Genomic DNA, 26,003 nt, shown 5'->3' with positions numbered 1-26,003 from the left:
CGCACAGAGGACATGTGGACACTACACACACGTTCTCACACAGCACACACCCCGTCACACCCATGAACTCACACCGAGAACACAACATCACACACGGGGACTCACGCACAGAGGACATGTGGACACTACACACACGTTCTCACACAGCACACACCCCGTCACACCCATGAACTCACACCGAGAACACAACATCACACACAGGGACTCACGCACAGAGGACATGTGGACACTACACACACGTTCTCACACAGCACACACCCCGTCACACCCATGAACTCACACCGAGAACACAACATCACACACGGGGACTCACGCACAGAGGACATGTGGACACTACACACACGTTCTCACACAGCACACACCCCGTCACACCCATGAACTCACACCGAGAACACAACATCACACACGGGGACTCACGCACAGAGGACATGTGAACACTACACACACGTTCTCACACAGCACACCCCGTCACACCCATGAACTCACACCAAGAACACAACATCACACACAGGGACTCACGCACAGAGGACATGTGGACACTACACACACGTTCTCACACAGCACACACCCCATCACACCCATGAACTCACACCGAGAACACAACATCACACACAGGGACTCACGCACAGAGGACATGTGGACACTACACACATGTTCTCACACAGAACACACCCTGTCACACCCACACCCCCACATGCGTAGACACACACATCCTTACTCTGCGCGCATCCCTGGCCTGGTGGACGGAAGATCGAGCGCTCTGGGTGGACTTACGGCCACAGGACGGGGGCAGAGTCGGCAGGGAGGCCCCTCCGAGGCCCAGTGGGCCCTGCGCTGGCCCCGGCCGCAGACGCCCACCTGCTGCTGTGCTGGCTGCGGCGTGTGCCCCGGGCTCTGCGGCTGACCTGGCCTCCACGTCTCACCCATGAAGCAGGCATGAAAGGCTGGCCAGGTTGGCTAAATGGGACCACAGCAGAAGCATGAGCCCCAGAATGTGCACGAAGGAAGAGAGAGCCGGGGGAGGTGGCGGGCTGGGTGTGCAGAGTGGGCCTGAGCTCCGGCCTCCTCCCTGGACGCCCTCCCGTGGCCGCAGCCATCCCCGCACCCACTGGTGTGGCCTGACCCCTCACCCTGAGCCCACCCTTCGCGGCCACTAGGGAACCTCAGGAGAGGCCGCCGCGGTGGGGTGGGCGGATTCCCCCGGAGCAGGCCCAGGCCCCTGCTCCTGAGCTCTCCTGCAGCGCCGCCTGCTGGCCACAGAGAGCCCACGTGCGCCGGCCGCCAGGCCTGGGCATCTCCCCTCCTGCAGCGCCGCCTGCTGGCCACAGAGAACCCGCGTGCGCCGGCCGCCAGGCCTGGGCATCTCCTCTCCTGCAGCGCCGCCTGCTGGCCACAGAGAACCCGCGTGCGCCGGCCGCCAGGCCTGGGCATCTCCTCTCCTGCAGCACCGCCTGCTGGCCACAGAGAACCCGCGTGCGCCGGCCGCCTGGCCTGGGCATCTCCTCTCCTGCAGCGCCGCCTGCTGGCCACAGAGAACCCGCGTGCGCCGGCCGCCAGGCCTGGGCATCTCCTCTCCTGCAGCACCGCCTGCTGGCCACAGAGAACCCGCGTGCGCCGGCCGCCTGGCCTGGGCATCTCCTCTCCTGCAGCGCCGCCTGCTGGCCACAGAGAACCCGCGTGCGCCGGCCGCCAGGCCTGGGCATCTCCTCTCCTGCAGCGCCGCCTGCTGGCCACAGAGAACCCGCGTGCGCCGGCCGCCAGGCCTGGGCATCTCCTCTCCTGCAGCGCCGCCTGCTGGCCACAGAGAACCCGCGTGCGCCGGCCGCCAGGCCTGGGCATCTCCTCTCCTGCAGCGCCGCCTGCTGGCCACAGAGAACCCGCGTGTGCCGCCAGGCCTGGGCATCTCCTCTCCTGCAGCGCCGCCTGCTGGCCACAGAGAACCCGCGTGCGCCGGCCGCCAGGCCTGGGCATCTCCTCTCCTGCAGCGCCGCCTGCTGGCCACAGAGAACCCGCGTGCGCCGGCCGCCAGGCCTGGGCATCTCCTCTCCTGCAGCACCGCCTGCTGGCCACAGAGAACCCGCGTGCGCCGGCCGCCTGGCCTGGGCATCTCCTCTCCTGCAGCGCCGCCTGCTGGCCACAGAGAACCCGCGTGCGCCGGCCGCCAGGCCTGGGCATCTCCTCTCCTGCAGCGCCGCCTGCTGGCCACAGAGAACCCGCGTGCGCCGGCCGCCAGGCCTGGGCATCTCCTCTCCTGCAGCGCCGCCTGCTGGCCACAGAGAACCCGCGTGCGCCGGCCGCCAGGCCTGGGCATCTCCTCTCCTGCAGCGCCGCCTGCTGGCCACAGAGAACCCGCGTGTGCCGCCAGGCCTGGGCATCTCCTCTCCTGCAGCGCCGCCTGCTGGCCACAGAGAACCCGCGTGCGCCGGCCGCCAGGCCTGGGCATCTCCTCTCCTGCAGCGCCGCCTGCTGGCCACAGAGAACCCGCGTGCGCCGGCCGCCTGGCCTGGGCATCTCCTCTCCTGCAGCGCCGCCTGCTGGCCACAGAGAACCCGCGTGCGCCGGCCGCCAGGCCTGGGCATCTCCTCTCCTGCAGCGCCGCCTGCTGGCCACAGAGAACCCGCGTGTGCCGGCCGCCAGGCCTGGGCATCTCCCCGGGCCCTAGTTCCCCCCCTCACCTAAGGGGAGGGACTCCCGTCTTTCCATCCACCCCCTCCTTGCCTCTGCAGAGCTCCAGGGAAGGCTGGCACCCGCTCACTGCATTTAGACTCCATCAGGTTCAGACAGTGGGTCAGGGTACAAGGCTTCAGCGGCCAGGGATGTGGCCTCTAATTTGTAGAGAGAAAGAAGGACAGAGGCAAAGGTTTGGGCCCAGGGACTGGGCTCCGTTTCCAGAATCACTCTTGGAGCTGGTGAGCAGAGGGCTGGACACTGCCCTCCATGACCAGCACTGCCCTCCACCCTAGCTCACTCCCCTAGCTGGCCCAGGGGTTCAGGCTTTCCTTTCATAAAGTGGGGTCCAGGAAAGGCAAAACCTCCTCCCCTGGGCCACACGAACCGTGGTGCACAGGCTCCCACTAGGTGGGCCAGTCAGCTCATCCCATGGACACACCAGGGGCATCGAGAAAGGAATAGCGACCTGAACCCCATACCCGAAGGGTGGCCCTCAGGACCCCCAAGGCAGGGAACAGGCTGCAGAGGGTTTGGGGGAGCATCTTGGTACATAGAAAACAAACACTCTGGGAAGCCGCTGTGAGTGTGTGTGGCTCTCAGGCCTGTTCTGTCCTGGGTGCGCTGCGTTCCCCAGGCGGCACCATCTCTCTGCCTCTGTACCCTTGAATTCCCTCTGCCTGCACCCGGTCCCCACCCACCTCCTGCTCAGCCCCACAAGCCCTTCCAGACCACTGCTGGGGCATTCCTGGGCCCCCTCGGTTCTTGGTGACTACCATGCAGTTCTCTATGGAAACTGACTCTCACTGAAAACAAGTGTAACCGTCTACCTAAGACACTCACACAGAGTTCTCAGCCAGGTCTCCAGGACAATCAGACGCAACTTGTCATTCTCACTCATCCCATCACCCGACTAGCTTCTCAGCCCAGCCCCGGGGGAGGTTTTCCCCTTACTTGAAATGCCTCTTGGATTTGAAAAATCCCAGCGTTCACCCCTGGTGCCGACACTTGCCTCTGTAACCTTCTGCCTGCTGCTTTGCTCTCATCCAGACCGGTTGGCACTTGGCCCCCTCTGGCCAGCTGGTTCCCCAGAGACAACCATCTTGCCCACCTTGTGGAAGGCCCCATGGCCTGCCTCACCCCTCACTCCCATTTCACAGCTCTCGTGGTGCTCTACAAGAAAAATCTGCTTTATAGATGAGGAAAGGCCCTTGGGGCAGACAAGACAGTCCCTGTTTGACATAATTCCTTTATCTCTTCTCCCCCAGCTCTGCTGCCCCCTGCCCCATACACGTGATGGAGCAGAAAACGTGCTGTGTGAACCTGTGACTTCAGGGCCTGTTGACGTGGTCGTGCTTGCATACTCTCTGGTGAGGGGTGGGGAGAGGGGGTGGGAGACGGGTAGAAATAGATGAAGTAGATGATGGGTGGATTGCTGGCTAGATAGATGATAGATAGGGATAGGTGGTATATGGGTGATAGGTAACAGGTGATGGATAGATGATAGAAATAGATGATGGATAGATACTTGATAGGCAAATTAGATAATAGATAGCAATAGATGAACTAGATGATAGATGGAAAGGTAGGTAGGTAGATATATGATAGATGGTTGATAGATAAAAATAGATGAAATAGATGGCATGGTTAGATAGGTGGGTAGGTAGATAGATGACAGATAGAAAGACAATAGACCACTGGGGGCTGAGCCTGGCCTGAGCCAGAAAGGTGAGAAGGGGACAGTGGTGAGGACCCCACAGGTCCCTGCTCTCACCCCTATTAGCCCCAGTGTTTGGCCTGAGCTCTGACTGACAGCTCCCTCTTTCCGAGATGAGACTCAAGAGGAGGAAGAGGGGACTTCCTAAGGACAGGGATTCTTGGTGTCTCCTTGGGGGTGGTAGACACTGCCTGCCTCGCCTGCTGTGGCCTCTCTGCACACAACCAACGACCCCTAAAGGGCTCCATGGGCACCCATGCTGCCCCCATCAGCTGACACCCCCTGTGCAAAGATTCTCCTCCTCCTCTTCCTCCTGCCTTTCTGTCCCCTCATCCTCCTCTTTATGGAATTAACTTCCCTTGGTCAACATCTTCCTGCTTCACTCACTTCCCTAAACTCCTCCCTATCCCTTCTCAATCTGCAAGAAAAATGTAGAAGGAATATGGTAAAGGAAAGCTTTGAGCCCATATTTGGGTCCAATGCCGACACCACATGCCCCAAAGCCCCCTTGAGAGCATCCACGTCCGTGTAGTTGAGTATTGCCCGAGCTGGAGTGAGATTTGCCTCTCTACGGAGCTGCCTTCCTGCAGTTCAAGAGCACTGTCTCTTTTCTGGGCCTCCTGCCTGGTGCAAGGGCCCCAGCTGAGCCTCCTCCAGCTCTGACCTCTGGTGGTTCCGGGCTGCCCCAGAGGGTCTTGCCCAGGCTCTGACACTTGGCATGGTCTGGGAGCTCCAGCAGCCACAGCCCAGCCCTGGGGAGGCTTTGTGGTCTCTGAGGGGGCAGGTGCACTCCCCCAACTCCATGTTTTTCCCTCCAACTCTAAGCCTTTTTCTTCCTCTGCTATTACCCAGGCACCCTACCCTGTCAACAACACTGGCCTTCAAGACCCTTTGTAGCATAACTCCCACCTATAACTCCCACCTGAAGCCAGCCCTTCCCACCTCTGCGCCTCTGATGCCCAGGACAGCTCTGACCATGGGCAGCTCTGACCCAGGACAGCTCTGACCTTGGGCAGCCCTGATCTGGGGCAGCTCTGACCTCGAGTAGCTGTGACCCTGGGCAGCTCTGACTCTGGGTAGTCGTGACCCTGGGGAACTCTCAGCACGGGGGTTGCATGCTCCTGTTTAGACAGCTGCTGTCCCCCAAGCTGGCTCACTATCCCATGTTGGAGTGCACTGTTCGGGGCTGCCTGCCTGGATTGATGCAGGGAAACTTGGTTCCAGCCCACCTCCTCCTGCGGAGGCTGAGTCAGGGGCTCTTCCCTCGGCCAGGCTGAAAGGCAGCAGTTGGTCCCCCTGTGAGGTCTTCCACATGGCCTGGGAGAGTCTCCCCATCTCTTCAGGCAGAAGGGAGGACAGTCCATAATGTTCCTTCCAGTCCTCTGACTTGTCATTTTTCTACCCCAAATCTTGCACTTTACCCCCATAGAGAGCTCCTGAAGGGGGAATTTTAACTGGCAAAACTCAGAACTCCATCCAAACACAACCGAAACCATCCTGGGTGGCTTAGAGGTGGCTGCCTCCCAGACAAGTCCATAGCCCCACAGAAACGTCTGGTCCTTCACCTGCCAGAGCTCAGGCTTTTTGGTTGAAGCCGGAGACAGGCCCAGCTCAGAGTGTGCCCCGGTTTATCCTGAACACCGACTTGGTGCGGTGTGTGTGACAGACCAGCGAAGCGGGTCTTGCTGCCTGTCCTGTGGTTGGCCCTTGGCTCCCAGCCTCGAGTCCTACCCTTAGGCCAGGTCAGAGCAGGTTCAGCAGCAGGACTGGCTAGGCACCACCCAGGCTCATGAGGTGGCTTTGTGGGGAGGAAATGAGGTTTTTTTTTTTCTCTTGTAAAGTTGCTTGTTGTTAATTTAAAATTTTAATTTCATTTCTGAATTAACATTCAGCAAAACTGCTATTTTTCGGTGTACAGTTCTATGAGTTTAACACATTTATAGATTCATGTAGCAACACTGTGGATACAGAACAGTTACATCACCCCCAGAACTCCGTTCACAGTCACGCTCCCCCACCCAGCCCCGGCAGCTCTCCCTGTGGTTTGTCTTTTGCAGAGGAAATCCCGCAGCTGGCGGCACTTGGAGACCGGCTCCTCGCCGAGCCGACCGCGCGTGCGCGGCTCCCTCCTCGTCCGTGCTGAGCGCCGCGTGGGGTTCCGCGTGGAGGCGCCTGTGCCGCTGAAGCGTGTTTGGGTTGCTTCCAGGGTTGTTGGATAGAGCTGTTTGTGCATTTGCGTTGTAGGTTTTTGTGTGAACATAAGCTTTTGTTTCTCTCGGGTACATACCCAGAAGTGCAATTGCTGAGTCATGTGGGAAGCGTGTGCCCAACTTTACAGGAAAACGCCACAGGCCGCCCCTTCGCTTTGCGCTCCCGCTAATCGGGAATGAGTGCCTGCTGCTCCGCGTTCTTGCGGGCACCCAGCATTTTCCGTGCTTACATTTCAGCCATCCCGGAATGAATGAAAAGCGTTTCCTAGTGGCTGTAATTTGCATCTCCCTGGTGGCTGATGGAAGCTTATTTCCCATCCATATCCCTTGCTTGGTGACGCATCTGTTCAAATCCTTCCCCGGTTTGTAACTGGATTATTTGGTGTTTTTACTGTTGGATTTTGAGAGTTCTTTATGTATTCTAGATACAATTCCTTTGCCAGATATGAGATTCACAAATATTTTCTCCAACTCTATGTCTTGTGTTTTCATTCTCTCAACAGTGACTTTTGCAGCATTCATAGGGATTTTATGTTTTCTTCTCAAAGTTTTATAAACCACTATATTTAAAATTTTAATTTAAAAACTATAAACCTATTATAGTTTTTAAATTAAACTGTAAACCTCTTATATAGATTTTCTGTTTAAACTTATGATTCCTTTTAAGTTAATTATTATGTAAGTTGTGAGGGTTGGGTCAAGGCATTCCTTTGCTTAAAATCCCCAGCTTTTCATTTCTCTCAGACAGAAGTCTTGACCTGCAGGGTCAGGCTCCCCTGCTCTCTGAGCTCGCCCTCCCCACGCAGCGCTAGCCCCTGGACTATTCTCACCACTCAGGCCTTGGCCTCCATACCCGCTTGGCACCCACCAAAGGGTCCGGGGACCCCTCCACAGGGCAGCGTTCTGTCTGTGAGGTGAAGCGGGAGCAGAGGGCCAGGCAGAGCCAGGCTGGGACCCAATCTCTGCTTCAGGCTGGTCTTTTTTTTTTTTTTTTTTGAGACGGAGTCTCGCTGTCGCCCAGGCTGGAGTGCAGTGGCACCATCTCGGCTCACTGCAAGCACCGCCTCCCGGGTTCACGCCATTCTCCTGCCTCAGCCTTGCGCGTAGCTGGGACTACAGGTGCCTGCCACCATGCCTGGCTAATTTTTTGTATTTTTAGTAGAGACGGGGTTTCACCGTGTTAGCCAGGATGGTCTTGATGTCCTGACCTTGTGATCTGCCCGCCTCGGCCTCCCAAAGTGCTGGGATTACAGGCGTGAGACACCGCACCTGGCCAGGCTGGTCTTTTTTGCCAGAGTTAGTGTTGTATTGAGGGACATGGAGGGAGAAAAGGGGGTCAGTTAGGGGCAAGTTTACTTGTGCAGGTAACCAGGGTGAGGGCTCGAGGGGAGAAGAGAGATAAGGAGGGCAGAGCTCAGCCAAGTTGGCCTGATGACATGACCAGAATGTGATCACTAGATCCCCTGCCTGGAGGCCCAAGTGTGGCCCCAGGTCTGGATAGTTGCAGCCACTGTGGGGAAGCTTCAGTTTGGGAGCCACAGAAACCAAGAATATTGTCTGGGAAGCTGATGTGCAGAGAGGAGAATGGAGCGGATGGAGGTGCGGTGGGGGAGAGAGACAAAGAGACAGAGAGGAGAGTAAAAGCCTGTTGCTGGCTCCACTATGTTGGGCTTGTCAGCCCAGCTTCTTCTTGTCCCATCCATAAAATGGGCTGGTGTCGCCCATCCTGGTTAGGAGGCACAAGGAAGTGTTGCGCTGTGTGCTCGGCCCAGCTGACTCAGCAGCTCTCCAACCTTGGGGACTCTCCAGACAGGTGTGTGCAGGTGAGGTGCTGGACCAAGGAAGGGCAGGTGGAGGACATGGCTGAGGGGAGCTCTGTGAGCTGAGCTGCCTGCTTCGAGGGTGCCCTTGAGGCCCAGGACTGACCCCTGGAGGGAGAGGCTTCCTTCCTTCTGTTGGGGCTCAGAAAACAACGCCCCAAAATGAAGTCCTCAGCAGCAGCCTCAGAAGCAAAAGTTGTCTCTGACCTTCTCCTGCCCTCCTGTCTCTCAGTCTCATTCTCCCTGAAGGCGCTGTAGAAACCAGACTCTCTTTTTCCCCAAGGCCGGTCACAGAAATCAGAACCCCTTCTCCCCAAAGCTGGTCAGAAAACCTAAAAATATTACTCAGTTTTCTGTCTACCTTTCTATATAAGAGCTGACTAGAGAGAAATGATCCAACATCCCTTGTTTGACTGTAGGTCATGAGACTGTCATTCCAGAGAGGGCCCTGCCCCACGTCCAGAGAAGAAAATGCTCAGAGATGAAGACAAATCTAGACAGACCTTGCTGGGTTCCCACTCAGTCTATTCACATTAGATCAAGCCCTTTGTGTCCAATCCTTTTTTTAGAGGACTGTTCATACGTTATTAAACCTAAACATAAAAATGGACAATTTCCCCCATCGTTGGGTCTTCGTTCTAAAGGTTCTTATATGTACACATCACATAAATTTGCATACCGTTTCTCCTATTAATCCATCTGTCTCATGTCAGTGACTTCTCAGCAAACCTTTAGGGGCCAAGGGGCCCCACACTCTCCAGCGGCAGGCACAATGGGCCTGGGGTGCAGTTGTGGACACTCGGACCCTCCTTGGAGCTGGTTTAGCTGTGCTGTGTGCTTGTGGGAATGGATTGCCATGATTTCTGGGCTCTAATAAATTGTGCTTCAATCGACTCTTGAGGAGTTAATGAGAGGCCTCACTTCAGACCATAAACACCCTCCCTGTGTGGGATAGAAACACACATCGTCACAGCCAGGAGGTCAGTCGGGTGAGGGTCTGCTTTGCTTACAAGGTCCAGAAACCCAGCAGAAAACCCTCGAGGCCACATCAGTGAAGAGTAACTTATTTCAGCAACATTTCCATGTGTGACACAAGACACACATTTCCTGCATCCACCTTTAAAGTCAAGAAGTTGAAGCTGAATAAAGCCAGCAGGCAGCGAAAATCACCTGCACTCAGTTCAGTTGTGGCAGGAAAGGGAAAGAGCCATGAAGAAAGGAGAGGGGGATGGAGAGGGAGAAAGGAGAGGGGGATGGAGAGGAGAAAGGAGAGGGGGCTAGAGAGGAGAAAGGAGAGGGAGATGGAGAGGGGGATGGAGAGGGGGATGGAGAGGAGAAAGGAGAGGGGGATGGAGGGGGGATGGAGAGAAGAAAGGAGAGGAGGGTGGAGAGCGACAGCTGCAGAGGGAGGCAGGGAGGCTGGCTGGGCGTGGACAGCTGCAGAGGGAGGCAGGGGAGGCCGGCATGGACGCTGCAGAGGGGACACAGCCACTCTGGGAACAGCAGCCAGTGGCGGATCTGCCTGGAATGCTGTTCCCTCCTGTCCAGGATGGGCCTGTCTCTGCAGACAGGGGCCCTCCCCTTCCTGGCCTGGCTGTGCACAGCCTATGTGCATGGTGGAAGCTCTGCAGAGGCCGTTCTGCTCCAGAGTGGGGCATAGCCTCGGGCGAGGTTCACAGCTTGGGGGGCTGGTCCTGCCCTGTCCCACATGTGGCTGTGTGGGCAGCATGGATCTTCTTCCGCGGTGACCCTGTGTGCCCACCCCCGCCAACTTATGCCTGCTTCCCAAGGCCATGGGCCTCACCCTCAGACTTCACTTTTGTGTATATGGAAAGACACAATTATCGGGACAGAAACAGATCAGTATTTGCCAGTGGGTGAGTGAGGGGAGAGGAGTTTACTACCGAGGGGCCGAACTGGGGCCATTTTTGAGGGATGAAAGTCTTCTGTGTGGCTCTACAGAGTTGGGTACGTGATGCTGTGTTTGTCAAACCCCACAGGACTGGACCTCACTGTGGGAACAACAAGATCAACAAGAGGAGCAAGAACAACATCAAGAGTCAGGGCCCGGGGGTCCTGACGGGTACAGGATGGGTACAGACCCACACAGGAATCCCAGAGTGTGTTCCACAGCAGGACACGCCTGCGCTGAAAGAGTGGGCAGAAAGGAGCTGACCTGGGTAAGTCCAAAAACAGTGTTTTGATTAGATTCTGGAAAGAATCAAATAACTCTGCATATCTAAGCACTAAACTCCAATTGGTAAAATTGTTTCCCACAGCAATACATGTTAGCAACTTTGAAACTACTTTTATATATACTAAGGTTTCACAAATAAGTCAATACAGTAGTAAGAGTCAGGGTTCTCACAGCTGGATAAGGAAGTCATGGAAAAGCCAGCGGGGACCCTGAGGTCCATATATAATATATATTATACATGTATACAGATCAGAATGGACCCTAAGGTGGTCAGTTATAGACAGATATGCCAGCAGGAACTCATGTTTACATGATACATATATACAGATCAGAATGGACCCTGAGGACCATATATAATATATATTATACATATATACAGATCAGAATGGACCCTAAGGTGGTCGGTTATAGACAGATATGCCAGCAGGAACTCATGTTTACATGATACATATATACAGATCAGAATGGACCCTGAGGTCCATATATAATATATATTATACATATATGCAGATCAGAATGGACCCTGAGGTCCATATATAATATATATTATACATATATACAGATCAGAATGGACCCTGAGGTGGTCAGTTATAGTCAGATATGCCAGCAGGAACTCATGTTTACATGATACATATATACAGATCAGAATGGACCCTGAGGTGGTCGGTTATAGTCAGATATGCCAGCAGGAACTCGTGTTTACATGATACATATATACAGATCAGAATGGACCCTGAGGAGGTCGGTTACAGTCAGATATGCCAGCAGGAACTCGTGTTTACATGATACTTATATACAGATCGGAATGAACCCTGAGGTGGTCAGTTATAGTCAGATATGCCAGTAGGAAATCATGTTTACATGATACATATATACAGATCGGAATGGACCCTGAGGTGGTCGGTTACAGTCAGATATGCCAGTAGGAAGTCGTGTTTACATGATACATATATACAGATCAGAATGGACCCTGAGGTGGTCAGTTATAGTCAGATATGCCAGCAGGAACTCATGTTTACATAATACATATATACAGATAGGTTAAATATATACACACACACGTGCGTGTACATACATGGCTTAGCACACACATCTGTAGATCCTGGGTTTGTCCTTTGAGAGGGGACACCCCAGTAGCAGCAAGCACATTCCATGCCCAGATGTTAGTTTCTAAATTTCATCTTCAATAAAAGGAGCCAAGTCTCCCTGGAGAAATGGCTGATAATTGGGATGTGGGAGAGAAAATACAAGATGAACCTGGAGCATCTTGTAGTCCCAGGAAGTAAGAAAATGCTCAAAAATAAAATTTTTAAAAAGCTGTGGACATTTCAAAAGGGCATGGAACCCAAAATGTAAGAGCTCCCAGTGGCCACAGCTACAATGATTTGAGTGCACACACACTCACACAGACATACACACACACACACACACAAATCGGATTATGCCCCAAAGAATAAAATGAATGTCCATGGATTTGTAAGCATATAAATAAATTATTGAATAAATTAAAACTGAAAGGGTAGCCAGGCGAGGTGGCGAGCGCCTGTAGTCCCAGCTACTCGGGAGGCTGAGGCAGGAGAATGGTGTGAGCCCGGGAGGTGGAGCTTGCAGTGAGCCAAGATCACGCCAATGCACTCCAGCTGGGGTGACAGAGCAAGACTCTGTCTCAAAAACAAAACAAAACAAAACAAAACAAAAAACTGAAAGGGACAGGCCTTTCTTGGAACAAATTCCAAACAAGAAATGTGGAGTAAATAGGGAAAATCACCATCAGGCTGGGCACAGTGGCTCGTGCCTGTAATCTCAACACTTCGGGAGGCTGAGGCAGGTGGATCACCTGAGGTCAGGAGTTCGAGACCAGCCTAGCCAACATTGTGAAACCCTGTCTCTACAAAAAAATACAAAATTAGCTGGGCCTGGTGACACATGCCTGTAATCTCAGCTACTTGGGAGGCTGAGGCAGGAGAATCGCTTGAACCCGGGAGGTTGCAGTGAGCTGAGATTGTGCCACTGCACTCCAGCCTGGGCAATGAGAGCAAAACTCTGTCTCAAAAAAAGAAAGAAAGAAAGAAAAGAAAAGAAAAAAAAGAAAATCACCATCAGTGCTGCAGGCAAGCTCCCCTGAGGAATGCTAAAATTCCTGTGCAAAGTTTAAGGAGAAAGAAGATATTTGTATAGTCTCAAAGTGTCTCCCCTAAATGTTCAGTAATTACCACGGTGCCCAAATTCTTTGATGCTCCTTCCTGTAGGAGTTGGAGCTCATGCTGGACTTCATGACTCACTCTTAACCAGCAGGACATGGAGAGGAAAACAGTCACTCTCCCGTGGGGAGACCTGGCAGGCCTCACCTTGGCCGTGTGATCAAGGTCCAGACCACCAGTGATGAGGCATGTTGACATCGTGGCCCCTGAGAGCACGTGATGAGAAGAGCGCCGCCCCCCCCCCCGCCGTGTTCTTCCGCAAACGCACAGTTCCAATGTAATCAGAGAGAACATCACACACACACCAATTGAGGGGCGTCTTGCAGAATACCTGAGCAGCACTCTGCAAAGCTGTCAAGGCGGTGAAGCGAAGACAGGCCAGGAAAGGGTCACAGGTGCAGGGGACTAAGGAGGCGTGAGGGCCAGTGCAGCCTGGGGTCCTGGACGTGAGCTGCTGAGACGGCACCCGCGTGAGTGTCGCAGTTTCCACACCGTGAGCTGCTGAGACGGCACCCGCGTGAGTGTCGCAGTTTCCACACCGTGAGCTGCTGAGACGGCACCCGTGTGAGTGTCGCAGTTTCCACACCGTGAGCTGCTGAGACGGCACCCGCGTGAGTGTCGCAGTTTCCACACCGTGAGCTGCTGAGACGGCACCCGCGTGAGTGTCGCAGTTTCCACACCGTGAGCTGCTGAGACGGCACCCGCGTGAGTGTCGCAGTTTCCACACCGTGAGCTGCTGAGACGGCACCCGCGTGAGTGTCGCAGTTTCCACACCGTGAGCTGCTGAGACGGCACCCGCGTGAGTGTCGCAGTTTCCACACCGTGAGCTGCTGAGACGGCACCCGCGTGAGTGTCGCAGTTTCCACACCGTGAGCTGCTGAGACGGCACCCGCGTGAGTGTCGCAGTTTCCACACCGTGAGCTGCTGAGACGGCACCCGCGTGAGTGTCGCAGTTTCCACACCGTGAGCTGCTGAGACGGCACCCGCGTGAGTGTCGCAGTTTCCACACCGTGAGCTGCTGAGACGGCACCCGCGTGAGTGTCGCAGTTTCCACACCGTGAGCTGCTGAGACGGCACCCGCGTGAGTGTCGCAGTTTCCACACCGTGAGCTGCTGAGACGGCACCCGCGTGAGTGTCGCAGTTTCCACACCGTGAGCTGCTGAGACGGCACCCGCGTGAGTGTCGCAGTTTCCACACCGTGAGCTGCTGAGACGGCACCCGCGTGAGTGTCGCAGTTTCCACACCGTGAGCTGCTGAGACGGCACCCGCGTGAGTGTCGCAGTTTCCACACCGTGAGCTGCTGAGATGGCACCCGCGTGAGTGTCGCAGTTTCCACACCGTGAGCTGCTGAGATGGCACCCGTGTGAGTGTCGCAGTTTCTACACGTGCCTCATTGCGTGTAAGATGCTCAAGTGAGAGGAAGCTGGTGAACGGGTCTGTGGGAAGTTGCAGTACTGTCTTTGCAACTCTTCTGGACATCTTTTTTTTTTTTTTAAATAAAACATTTTTAACGTGAAAATATGCAGAGCACGGTGGCTCGCACCTGTAATCCCAGCACTTTGGGAGGCCGAGGCAGGTGGATCATGAGGTCAGGAGTTCAAGACCAGCCTAGCCAACATGGTGAAACCCCATCTCTACTAAGAATACAAAAATTAGCTGGGCGTGGTGATGGGCATCTGTAATCCCAGCTACTCGGGAGGCTGAGGCAGGAGAATCACTTGAACCCGGGAGGCAGAGGTTGCAGTGAGCCGAGATCGCGCCCCTGCACTCCAGCCTGGGTGACAGAGCAAGACTCCATCTCAAAAAAAATAAAGGAAATATGCGTCGTTGGATGCTGTATGACAATCAAGCTACTTATAACAAACAAAATTGAGAATGAAGGTAAATTAAAAATAATTTATAGTCTTTAAAAAGCAGGAACTACAAAATTTACATTTCTGAAAATGGCAGAAAAATCCCACATGGCTGTATATGTATGTGTGAGATTGTGTATGAATGAGCGCATGCATATATTTTTGTGTGTTTGGATTATATGTGTGACGGTGTGCATGAGTGTGTATATGATTTGGGGGTATGTGTGAGTGTGTATGACTGTGTATGAGTGTGTATTTGTGTGTGTGAGTGTGTACATGTATACACTAGTGTGCGTATGATTTGAGGGTATGAATGTGAATGTGTACATATGTATTTATGATCTGAGTGTGTATGAGTGTGAATGTGAACATGTGTGTGTGAGTGGGTATATGATTTGGGTGTGTGCAAGTATGAATATGTATTGTGTGCATTAATGTGTATATTATTTTGGGCTGTGTATGAGTGTGAATGTGAACATGTGTGCACGAGTGTATATATGATCTGGGTGTGTATGAGTGAGCATGAGTGAACATGTGTGCATGAATGTGAGTATGATTTGGGTGTGTATGAGTGTGAATGTGTGCACGAGTGTATATATGATCTGGGTGTGTATGAGTGAGCATGAATGTGAACATGTGTGCATGAATGTGAGTATGATTTGGGTGTGTATGAGTGTGAATGTGTGCACGAGTGTACAATCGGTGTGTATGAGTGAGCATGAATGTGAACATGTGTGCACGAGTGTATATATGATCTGGGTGTGTAGGAGTGAGCATGAATGTGTATGCACAAGTGTGTGTATGTGTGTATGATCTGGGTGTGTAGGAGTGTGAATACGAACACGTATGCGCAAGTATGTATATGATCTGTGTATGTATGAGTGAGTGTGAATGTGTGCATAAGTGTGTGTATGATCTGGGTATGAGTGATTGTGAATGTGAGCATGTGTGCACGAGTGTGTATATGATCTGGGTGTGTGGGAGTGAGCATGAATGTGTATGCACAAGTGTGTGTATGTGTGTATGATCTGGGTGTGTAGGAGTGTGAATATGAACACGTGTGCACAAATGTGTATATGATCCGAGTATGTAGGAGTGAGTGTGAATGTGAACATGTTTGCACGTGTGTATATGATATGGGTGCATGTGTGGGTGTGTTTGTGCAGGTGCACTGGGAGCTTTCAGCATTGAGTCTGTGTGGCATCCAGGCTTTTCTGGATGATGTAGAATCAAACCCCATAATTAATTCCAGTAACTTAGAAATTTTCACTTATGAATACTAAATTCTCCTCACCTAGCAACTGACTGAGCAGGTTGAACAGCACCCTTCGCCGTTCTCCTGCAGAACCCCGTGGAATGGCCCTGCTTTCTCAGAGTGCTCCTAGCGGTGATGAGGGAGCCCAGCTCATTGCGGTTCGTGCAGAAGGCTGTGTGCCATCTCCGGGACTGCACGGAAAGGCGGAGGCTCAGACGTGGGATCTGAGCTCAGTGGGCCCTTTAAGGACCGCTGCCTCCTTTCCTCCCTTTGGCACTCAGCATCGACTTACGATGGCTCCCAGTCACAGTCCTTGTCACTGCCTGGCATTACACAGGGCCACAGTCCCTTAACTGAAACACTTGGGACCAGTTGCATTTTGGAATTCGGAATGTTTCTTGATTTCAGAGAGAGAAGAGGGGATGGACTGTTGGGCAGCCCTGATTAACCCTGCAGCGTCTTGGCTCTAGAGGGGCCTACACGGCCGGGAGCGTCTCGGCTCTAGAGAGGGGCCTGCACTGCCGGGAGCATCTCGGCTCTAGAGAGGGGTCTGCACTGCTGGGAAGCCTACACAGCTGGGAGCGTCTCGGCTCTAGAGCCACAGCTGATGCATGGCAACGATGAGCTCTCCTGCTTAGTGCTGATGTGCCTCAGCCCCTAACCCCACTGGTGTCCAGATGAGGACCTTGAGGCTCAGAGAAGCTAGGTCAAGGTGAACACCAGTGTTGAGTTTCAGCCCCAGGTCTACCTGATGCTGCCTCCACATTGACTGAGTTGGCCTGGTCCATTGTGAGGGCAGGTAGAGCCAGGGCCGAGGTGGGGATGCCAAGGTCCCATGCCGCAAAGATGGGTGGGACGGCACAGGAGCCAGTCATCATCCCCAAAGACACAGCTCCGAATACCTCATCCTGAAATCCCAAAGATCAAAATCCCAAAAGTATAAATCTGGAAAAAATAATGTCGATGTTATTTATTTACATTTTTAAAAGGTATGTATTTGAGAAACATAAAAACACAACAGAACATTTCATAGGCCACTTTACACAATAAAATAGGCAACGATAACAGGTATTTTTGCATAAACACTGAGGTAACTAATGACGGTGGCATGGGTGTAGCAGTTATAAGAAGACAGACCATAAAGAAATAAGTCAAAAGAGAAACGTGTACACGTATATCACTACGGTTACTAATTGTGTGCACCTAGCCCTATAGCTGTGGTCATCTGAAATATCAGGGATTTTAGACTTGAGGGATTTTGATCTTTAGGGATTTCAACATTCCACATTATGGTGCTTGGGATTGTGTCTTTCAGGATTATGATCCAAACTCAGCTGGGCCTCCCCTACCTGCCCCAGGATTGTGGAGTGAGAACGTTGCAGCAGGGGAGAACAACGCAGCAAAGCACAGCAGGGGAACCGGAAATGCTCACCCTTTGACAGGGTACTTTTAGTTCTGGGGCCTTATCTTAAGGATATTCCAACATATACAAAAAGATTCATGCACAGAGATATTTACTTTAGTATTATTTACCATAGGAAAAAAGTTGGAAACAATACATTTTATGTTCTGTAAAATGAAAGAACAGTTAAATAAATCATGGCTCTAAGACGACTCCAGGGCTGTGTACGGAAGTTCAGGGACTGAATCAGTTGAGGCTGTTCCACCTGAGCCTAAGCTTCCTCTGCTGTATGTCAGGAATCAGGTGGGGGCCAAGCGAGATCACCACAGTGCAGGCCAGTGTGCAGGGCACAGGTGGGCGCCAGGGAGGGGACGCCGCACAGCCCCATGCTCTCGCCAAAAACGTGCAGCACAATTTGGAAGAAAACATTTCCATCTGTTAATAAAGAGCAACGGCCTCTGGTCATAAGTGACACATGACCCTTTGCCTGAGTCTTTTTAAATTTTTCCATATGTTCCATATTTTCTACACCAAATGTAAGCTACTTTCATAATCACAAAAACTTAATGGAAAGAGGAGGAGGAGGACGGGGGTGGGGAGTAGTAGCCATGGGTTCGAGCCCTTCCTCTCCGCATGACTTGGATAACACGGTATATTCACACAGCTATTTCCCCATCTATGAACTTCTGAGGTGCTTTTATTAGTTGATGTCTGGGACCCCTAGGAGCTCTCTTTATACCTCATGATATCAAATGCCCACCTTTCCAGCTCCTCTTGGCCTCCTGCCCTTCCTGGAGGGAGATGCGCTCCCTGGAGCTGCTGACTAGGTGGAAGCAGACTGGCTCCTTCAGTGGGTAGGCCAGCCTGCCTGTCTCCCTAGCCCAGTCCCACCGTGCTGGCCTCAGTGGTGGAGGCAGGCGTGGAGCCTTGGAGGAACCACTCCTCCCCAGCCGCCACCAACATTTGTGGCACTGAGAAGCACCCGTGCTATTCCGGACAGGGATGGGGTTGGACACCCATGCATAGGGGACCCTACACCCCCAGGCTTGGCTCTGGGCTAAACAGCAGGTGTGGATTTGGGCCTAGGCCTCAGAGAAGCCATCAGCTAGGGCAGAATTCCCATGTGGGCAGGATGTTATTTAGGAATTCCAGGGCTTTCTGTATTCCAGATTTCCTGTATTGTGCATATGTGCGTGCACGTATGTGCCCTCAGCCATGATGTAAAGTGTTTTTCTGGCTGGGGTTGCATCACACAGTTTGGAAGCCACTGCTCTGCAGATTCTGAGGACCACCTCCCTTATTTCTCACCAAATTCCCATTTCTTCTGTTTTTGTTCCACCCAATGCAAAAAGCATACTGCCTTCTCTTCTGCATTGGTGGGCAGCGGGTCCTGCAGCTCAGGTTTCTCCAGCGAGGGCCCTGAACGTGAGCCTGGTGGCGTGGGCAGGGGGCTGACTCCATGTGGGCCAAAGGCAACCTATCCAGCTCTTCAGAATGGCTTTTCTCTCCTCCCTATAAAACATATTTTCTCTCCTCCCTATAAAGCATATTTTTGTATTAGGGTGTTTGTTAAAATGAAAACATGAGATCATTGATGCATAACGAGAAGCCGTGCCATTACTTCCCAGGCCCTGTGCAAGGTGCAAATTGGCGTGTTAGTGGCTGTTTGCATCTTTTCAGTTCCTTTCATCTTTTCTCCTTATCCTGCCCTTTATATGGTTTCTGCTTTAAGTCAAACATTGTGAGTGGATTGATGGACATATGTGTGTGTGAGCGTGTGTGCACAGATGCATGAGAACTGCAGAGAGAGATGGGAGGTAACCAGGGGGATCACTGTTCTCTTCTTCCCAAACATTAGCGTTAGGCTGTTCCGCTTCTGTTCTTGAGAGGGCACCCACCTTACTGCTTGGGAGCCTGGAAATGGCCCCACTGAAGCAGCTCTGAGGCCCTGGGCACCCTTTTCCTGGTTGTGGCCAGCTGAGTTGTGCATGGTCCTCCCCGTGAGATGTGCTTGGAGCATCTGCTGGTAGCAGAGCCTCAGTTCCTCTCCTGCGTTCTTTCGCTACAGGTGTTAGACCTCCTGCCCACCTGTGACCTGTTTACTGCCAGGGATAGACCTGTGGCCAGTGTGGAAAGCGAGATGCTTTGTCCATACAGCCTGCGGGGCTCAGCCTTCCCGGGGTTGCCCACAGCTAGGCTGGGCCAGGACCCCCAAGCCTGGGAACTTACACCTTTCTCACCTGCTTTCCTAAAGGTGGTTTTCCTTTGTGATCTCTCTCCCTGAACGGCTAAACCACACTCTGAATAGAAAACTGTCTTGAAAACTGCTTTGCACGTACATCTGATAAGGTCCTCTGGAGGGCGACCTCCACTGTCTAGTGGGCGAGGATTGTTCAGCTGCCTTGGCTGTGTCACCGAGCTGCCAAGGGCGGACTGTACCCTGGGCTCACCAGCATGCAAAGATATTTTATTCATTTATTTATTCCATAAATATATATTTATATTATTTATATTTAGAGCCAGTGTATCTCTCTGTCGCTCAGGCTGGAGTGCAGTGGCACGATCTCACTGCAGCCTCAAGCTCCCGGGCTCAAGGAATCCTCCTACTTTGTCCTCCCAAACAAAAATATTTTTAAGGAGCCCACTAGGAGAGTGCTGAGTTTAAAATCTAAGTTCTTGTTTCTTTTTTCTTTTTTATTGATGCATAATAGATGTACATAGTTTCAGGGTACATGTGATAGTTTAATGCATTCATATAATTGTGAAAATCAAATCAGCCTACTTGGAATATCTATCGCCTTAAATATTTGTTTTTGCTTTATGCTAGAACCGTTCCGATTCTTCTCTTCTAGCTATTTTGAAATATACAGTAGGCAATTGTCAACTATGATCTATGTAACACTAGGTCTTATTCCTTCTTTTTTTTTTTTTTTTTTGAGACAGAGTCTCACTCTGTCGCTCAGGCTGGAGTGCAGTGGCGGGATCTCGGCTCACTGCAAGCTCCGCCTCCCGGGTTCACGCCATTCTCCTGCCTCAGCCTCCCAAGTAGCTGGGACTACAGGCGCCCACCACCATGCCCAGCTAATTTTTTGTATTTTTAGTAGAGACGGGGTTTCACCGTGTTAGCCAGGATGGTCTCGATCTTCTGACCTCGTGATCCGCCCACCTCGGCCTCCCAAAGTGCTGGGATTACAGGCGTGAGCCACCGCACCCGGCCCGTCTTATTCCTTCTATCAAACCACGTATTTGTACCCTTTAATCAACTTCTCTTTCTCCCCCTCTCCCCGCTACATTTCCCCACCTCTGGTAACCAGGCGTCTACCCTCTATCTTCACGAGAGCTACTTTTTTAGTAGGTGGGTGAGAACATTCAATGTTTGTCTTTCTGTGCTTGGCTTATTTCACTTAACATAATGATCCCTAGTTCCGTCTTGTACAAATAACAGGCTGTCATTCCTCTGTATGGCTGAAGAATATTCCACTGTGTATACACACCACGTTCTGTTTATCCATCATCCGCTGATGAACTCAGAGGCTGATTCCGTATTTTGGCGATTGTGAGTAGTCCCGCAGTAAACATGAGAGTGCAGATGTCTTTACGATATATTGATTTTGTTTCTTTTGACTATATGCCCAGTTAGTGAAATTACTGGATCATACAGCAGTTTTACTTTTAGGTGTTTTTTGTTTGTTTGTTTGTTTTTGGAGATGGAGTCTTGCTCTGTCACTAGGCTGGTGTGCAGTGGTGTGATCTTGGCTCACTGCAACCTCTGCCTCCCGGGTTCCTGTGTTTAAGCGATTCCCCTGCCTCAGCCTCCCGAGTAGCTGGGATTTATAGGTGCGCACCACCACGCCCAGCTAATTTTTTGTATTTTAGTAGAGACGGGATTTCACCATGTTGGCCAGGATGGTCTCGATCTCCTGACCTTGTGATCCGCCCGCCTCCACCTCCCAAAGTGCTGGGATTACAGGTGTGAGACACCGCGCCCGGCCAACTTTTATTTATTTATTTTTTAAGGTGGAGTCTTGCTCTGTCACCCAGGCTGGAGTGCAATGGTGCGCTCTCCGCTCACCGCAATCTCCACCTCCTGTGTTCCAGTGATTCTCCTGCCTCAGTCTCCCAAGTAGCTGGGATTACAGGGTCGCACCACCACGCCTGGCTAATTTTTTATATTTTTAGTAGAGATGGGGTTTCATCATGTTGGCCAGGCTGGTCTCAAACTCCTGACCTTGTGATCCCCCTGCTTTGGCCTCCCAAAGTGCTGGGACCACAGGCGTGAGCCACCGGGCCCAGCCCCTTTTAGTTTTTTGAGGAGCCTCCATCTGTTTTCCATAGTGGTTGTACTAATCAATGTTCCCACAACAGTGTGTGAGGGTCCCCCTTTCTCCACATCCTCGCCAGCATCCCTTATTCCCTGCGTTTTTGACGAAAGCCATTTTAACTGAGGTGAGAGAAGACCTCATTGCAGTTTTTTATTTGCGTTTCTCTGATGATTAGTGATGTTGAGCATTTTTTCATGTACCTGCTGGCCATTTGTACATCTTTTGAGAAATGTCTACTCAGGTCTCTTGCCCATTTTAAAATTCGATTAATTGTTTGCTATTGTTTGAGCTCCTGGTTATGAATCCCTTGTCAGGTGGGTAGCTTGCAAGTATTTTCTCCCATTCTGTGGGTTGTCTCTTCAGTTTGTTGACTTTTTCCTTTGATCTGCAGAGGGTTCTTAGCTTGGTGTGATTTCACTTGTCTGTTTTTGCTTTGGTTGCCTGTGCTTTTGGGGTCCTACTGAAAAAGTCTTTGCTGAGAACAATGTCCTGGAGCACTTCCCTAATGTTTTCTTCCAGTAGTTTTATACTTTCAGGTCTCAGTTTTACCTTTAATCCATTTTTATTTGATTTCTGTGTATGGTAAGAGAGATGGGTCTAGTTTCATTCTTCTGCATATCTTTATCTAGTTTCCCCTGCACCACTTATGGAAGAGACCGTCCTTTCGCTCGTATGTTGTTGGTGCCTTTGCTGAAGATGAGCTGGCTGTAAATGTGTGGATTTATATCTGGGTTCTCTATTCTGTTCCACTGGTCTATGTGTCTGTTTTACGTGATTACCAGGCTGATAGGTTGGCTCATGCCTGTAATCCCAGTACCTTTGGAGGCCCAGGTGGGAGGATCACTTGAAGCCAGGACTTCAAAACCAGCCTTGGCAACAAAGCAGGACCCCATCTCTACAATGTTTTAAAAAATTATTTGGTGCAGTGGCACACACCTGTAGTCCCAACTACGCAGGAGGCTGAGGTGGGAGGATCCTTTGAGCCTAGGAGTTTGAGGCTGCTGTGAGCTGTGATTGTGCTACTGCACTCCAACCTGGTTGACAGAGCAAGGCCCTGTCTCTTAAAAAAAAAAAAAAAACTATTGCAAGAGGAGAGAGAGAGACTGAATTCAACTCTCAATACAACAGAGACAAGTGGGGATAGCCAATGAGCAGGGTGAGGGAGGTGATGAAAAGTTGTTGAAAGGAGCTTGGTTAGTTAGCAAGGGTGGGGAAGATTCTCACTAAGGACCTTAGCAGCATTCCTTGCTAGCACTGAGCTCAGCAGGCCAAGGATGAGGCTTCATCAAGGAGAAGGCTCAAAGGAGCCTGAATGGAGTTTGGTCAAGGAGAGCGTCTTTGTCATCCTTGCAATGACTCATTTTATAGGTAATTAAGTAGGGGGTTCAGACAGGTCAAAGAACTTACCAAAAAGAGGAAATTGTGTCCATGTGGCTGGTGGCTCACCCCAGGAACTGACAGTGGCTTACTCTCAGAAACTCAGAGTGTGCGTGTCTCTTTGAATCCGTATCTGTGTGTGGGTGGGTGTGTCTGTCTGTGTGCGTGCCTCAATCTTTTCTGAATTTCTCTCCCAATCCCCGTCTCTCTTTCCTCGGGTCGGTGTTTCCCTCCTGCTGGCCTCTGGCCAGCTATTTCTGGAAGTGTCAGCTGCTCTGTCTTCCTGCCCCTGTCTCCACCATCACGTCTGTGTCTGACTCCCTTTCTTTCCCATACAAAACCCCTAATGCAAGTCCTACTGTTTCTGTAACTGGCCACTGCCTATAACAAATCTTTGCTTAGGTTGTGTTTCTTTGTAGAATAGACTGATGTACTGTGTGCTTGATTTTTACAAGATGAGCACAATACCTTATCTTTCTTCTTTATTAAAAAAAAGGAAAAATCCAAACACAAGATTAATATCTCGTCATGGACTGTGCCCCGCTCGAGCCTCTCCACAGGCAGCCGGAAGGAAAGTGGAGGGAGCTGCTCCTTTCCGTAGCCGGGGTGCCCACCCCAACCAGGCTGCCTCTGCCACCCAAGACAGAGGTTCTCTGATAATAATTTGTGGGGCTTGTTTCCAGAGACCACACCTGAAGCTGCCAACTCCCCGGAGGGAAGGTCCTGATTAATGGCCGATGAATTTCTCCTTAAGGCCCTGAAACTGCCTACTCAGAACCAAGCCAGTTTTTCCTGCCTGTCCTGTTTGGGCAGGCAGAGGAGGCAGCTAGAAACCCATTATGCAGGGGATGGGGGTAAGTGGAGGAGGGAGGGGTCGGGAGAGGAGTGGGGAGGAGGAGGAGGGAAACAGGAGACCCCAGGCTTTGGCTATGACGGGGTCAGCCTTTCTACACCATTCCGGGATGCTGGTGTCCACCACTGCTGCCTGGGCACGGGGAACAGAGAATCTGCCTGGTGGGAGCAGACAAGAGGTTCGAGGACCAGAGCTCATCCTCTTCGGTGTGTGCCTGGGAGGAGGTGTAGGTGCAGCCAGTGGGGTATGATTAAAAAGAAGGGACGCGAGTTTAGGGGACAGCCGCCCACGTGCACCAGCTCTCCGTGTGCCACAATCTTGCCTGTCAGGGACCAGGATCCCACTTCACAGTTAGCAAATAGCAGCTCAGGGACATTAAGCAACTCGCCCAGCATCCCACCAGCAGACAGTCTCACCTTCAGGGTCGTCTGTGTCTGTTAAAGTCGAGTCTAGTTTCGGGTCTCAGAGCACCTCCCTAAAGCTTCCGTAAACCAAGAATAAAATTCTAAGCCCCACAGCCGATTGCGTGGACCCCGCCTCTGGGCCAAAGGGATTCCAGAGAAACCTGAAGAACTAGTTCAGGCCGTGATGAGGAGGAGTGGGGGCTGGACAGGCCTCATTGTACCCTCCTCCCTTTGGAATTTGGGCAGAACTGACCAGAACCAACATTAAAACAGAGATCTGAAGACTGACAAGGCTCTCTAGCAATAAGATACCAAATTCCAACCTGACTCCAGTGCAGCATCACATGACAGACAGAGGCCGTGAAATCAATATTTTACCTCAAAATATATTTCTTTGACATACTTTGAAATGGCCCTGCCAAGCTGTCTCTTGTGGGGGACATTTACATTCTGTAGAGAATCCCTTCCCTTTCCAGGTCTTTCTCTGATCCTGAAGACATTGGCTGAGAGTCTAGCACCTTCTATGGGTCTGAACAGGAAACATTTGCCATCTATTTTCTCTAAGGGTGGCCACCTATGAAACTTCATCTACATAATAAGAACCTTGGTCTCCACAGTCTCTTATCTTAACTCAGACTCTCCTTTCTATTGATAGCAGGTCTGTAGATAATAATTCTTTCAATCAATTGACAATCAGAAAATCTTTGAATCTATCTATGACCTGTAAGCCCCATTACTTTGAATTTTCCTCCTTCCAGACCAAACCAATGCACAACTCCTACGTACTGATGGTGGTCTTACGTTTCCCTAAGTTTCTGCCGACTAAACTGTGCACACGTTCTCAGGACCTCCTGAAGCTGCGTCACAGGCGCTGATCAAAGAACACAACCAAGGTGAGTGTCAATCATTTCAAGAAATCTATTTGCAAGGTTAAGGACACACCTGAGAAAAGAACAGAGAACCACAGGAAAAACTGTGGTCCGTGCTTTTCCCAAAGATTGTCTGGGGGCCTCAGTAAGTAAAGGGGAAAAGTGCGGGTATTGGGGAAAGGGGAAGAAGTGGAAAAAATGGGTGTGGGTAAATCAGAGGCAAATGGTTGCATTCTTCTGTCTTTGGTCAGTGTTCACTGAATACACATTTTACATGCGAGGGAGGTAGAGGCAGGGATGTAGCTTTTTTATCTTTGTGTAATAGCTATCTTATTTAGGAACCAGATGGGAAGCAGGTTTGCATAAGCCAGTTCCCAGCTTGGCTTTTCCCTTTGGCTTAGTGAGTCTGGGGTCCCAGGATTTATTTTCCGTTCTCACAGGTTGTGGTCCTCACATTTGGCTCAAAATATTCAAAATTTTTTCCAGAGTTTGGCCTTTTCTTCAGCACTGGGAATTGTGATCCAAAGCTTTTCCTGATGAGGCACAAAGTTGGAGAAACAAAACGCAAACTAAGCAACAATGAAACAGAACAGAGTGAATCTGCTGTAGCTCAAGAGAGGACGTAGCTGCCCCCACCCCGCATCCCCGGGCTCGGGTTTGCCTTGCTGACCTCTGCTGCCACCTGGTGCCGCACAGAGAAACTGAGGAGAAACCACATCAGTCTCCTTCAGCCTCAGCTTCACATCTGTGGGTCAAGCAACCCTTTCAGAAGCTGAATAATGTGGGAAAGCTTTCCTCTCAGGAAAATGCACACATCCAACTTTGAGAAGATGCCCTTGGGGGCGCTTCAAGGATC

At 51.6% G+C, this 26,003-nt stretch overlaps 1 protein-coding gene across 1 annotated transcript; it reads left to right on the top strand.

The window, feature by feature from the left end:
* Positions 1-694: 694 nt before the first annotated feature.
* On the top strand, positions 695-25,705 carry LOC105378947 (proline-rich extensin-like protein EPR1). The gene is made up of 6 exons (XM_011542538.1): positions 695-880; positions 1,242-2,909; positions 3,936-4,037; positions 10,415-10,594; positions 25,037-25,171; positions 25,634-25,705. The coding sequence occupies exons 1-5, from the start codon at positions 695-697 to the stop codon at positions 25,151-25,153; spliced, it is 2,253 nt and encodes a 750-aa protein (XP_011540840.1). The 3' UTR covers positions 25,154-25,171; positions 25,634-25,705.
* Positions 25,706-26,003: the final 298 nt, after the last annotated feature.

Source organism: Homo sapiens, chromosome 1 (genome assembly GCF_000001405.40).
Source record: "Homo sapiens chromosome 1, GRCh38.p14 Primary Assembly".
Classification (NCBI taxonomy): Eukaryota; Metazoa; Chordata; class Mammalia; order Primates; family Hominidae; genus Homo; species Homo sapiens.
This window is presented reverse-complemented; position numbering and strand designations above follow the sequence as displayed.

Excerpts from the sequence above, each read along its gene's own strand:
- LOC105378947 (XM_011542538.1), top strand. The coding sequence starts at position 695 with ATGCGTAGACACACACATCCTTACTCTGCGCGCATCCCTGGCCTGGTG. Across the intron at positions 2,910-3,935 it reads CAGAATCACTCTTGGAGCTG|CTCTGCTGCCCCCTGCCCCA; the intron begins GTGAGCAGAGGG and ends CTTCTCCCCCAG. Across the intron at positions 4,038-10,414 it reads TCGTGCTTGCATACTCTCTG|GACTGGACCTCACTGTGGGA; the intron begins GTGAGGGGTGGG and ends CAAACCCCACAG.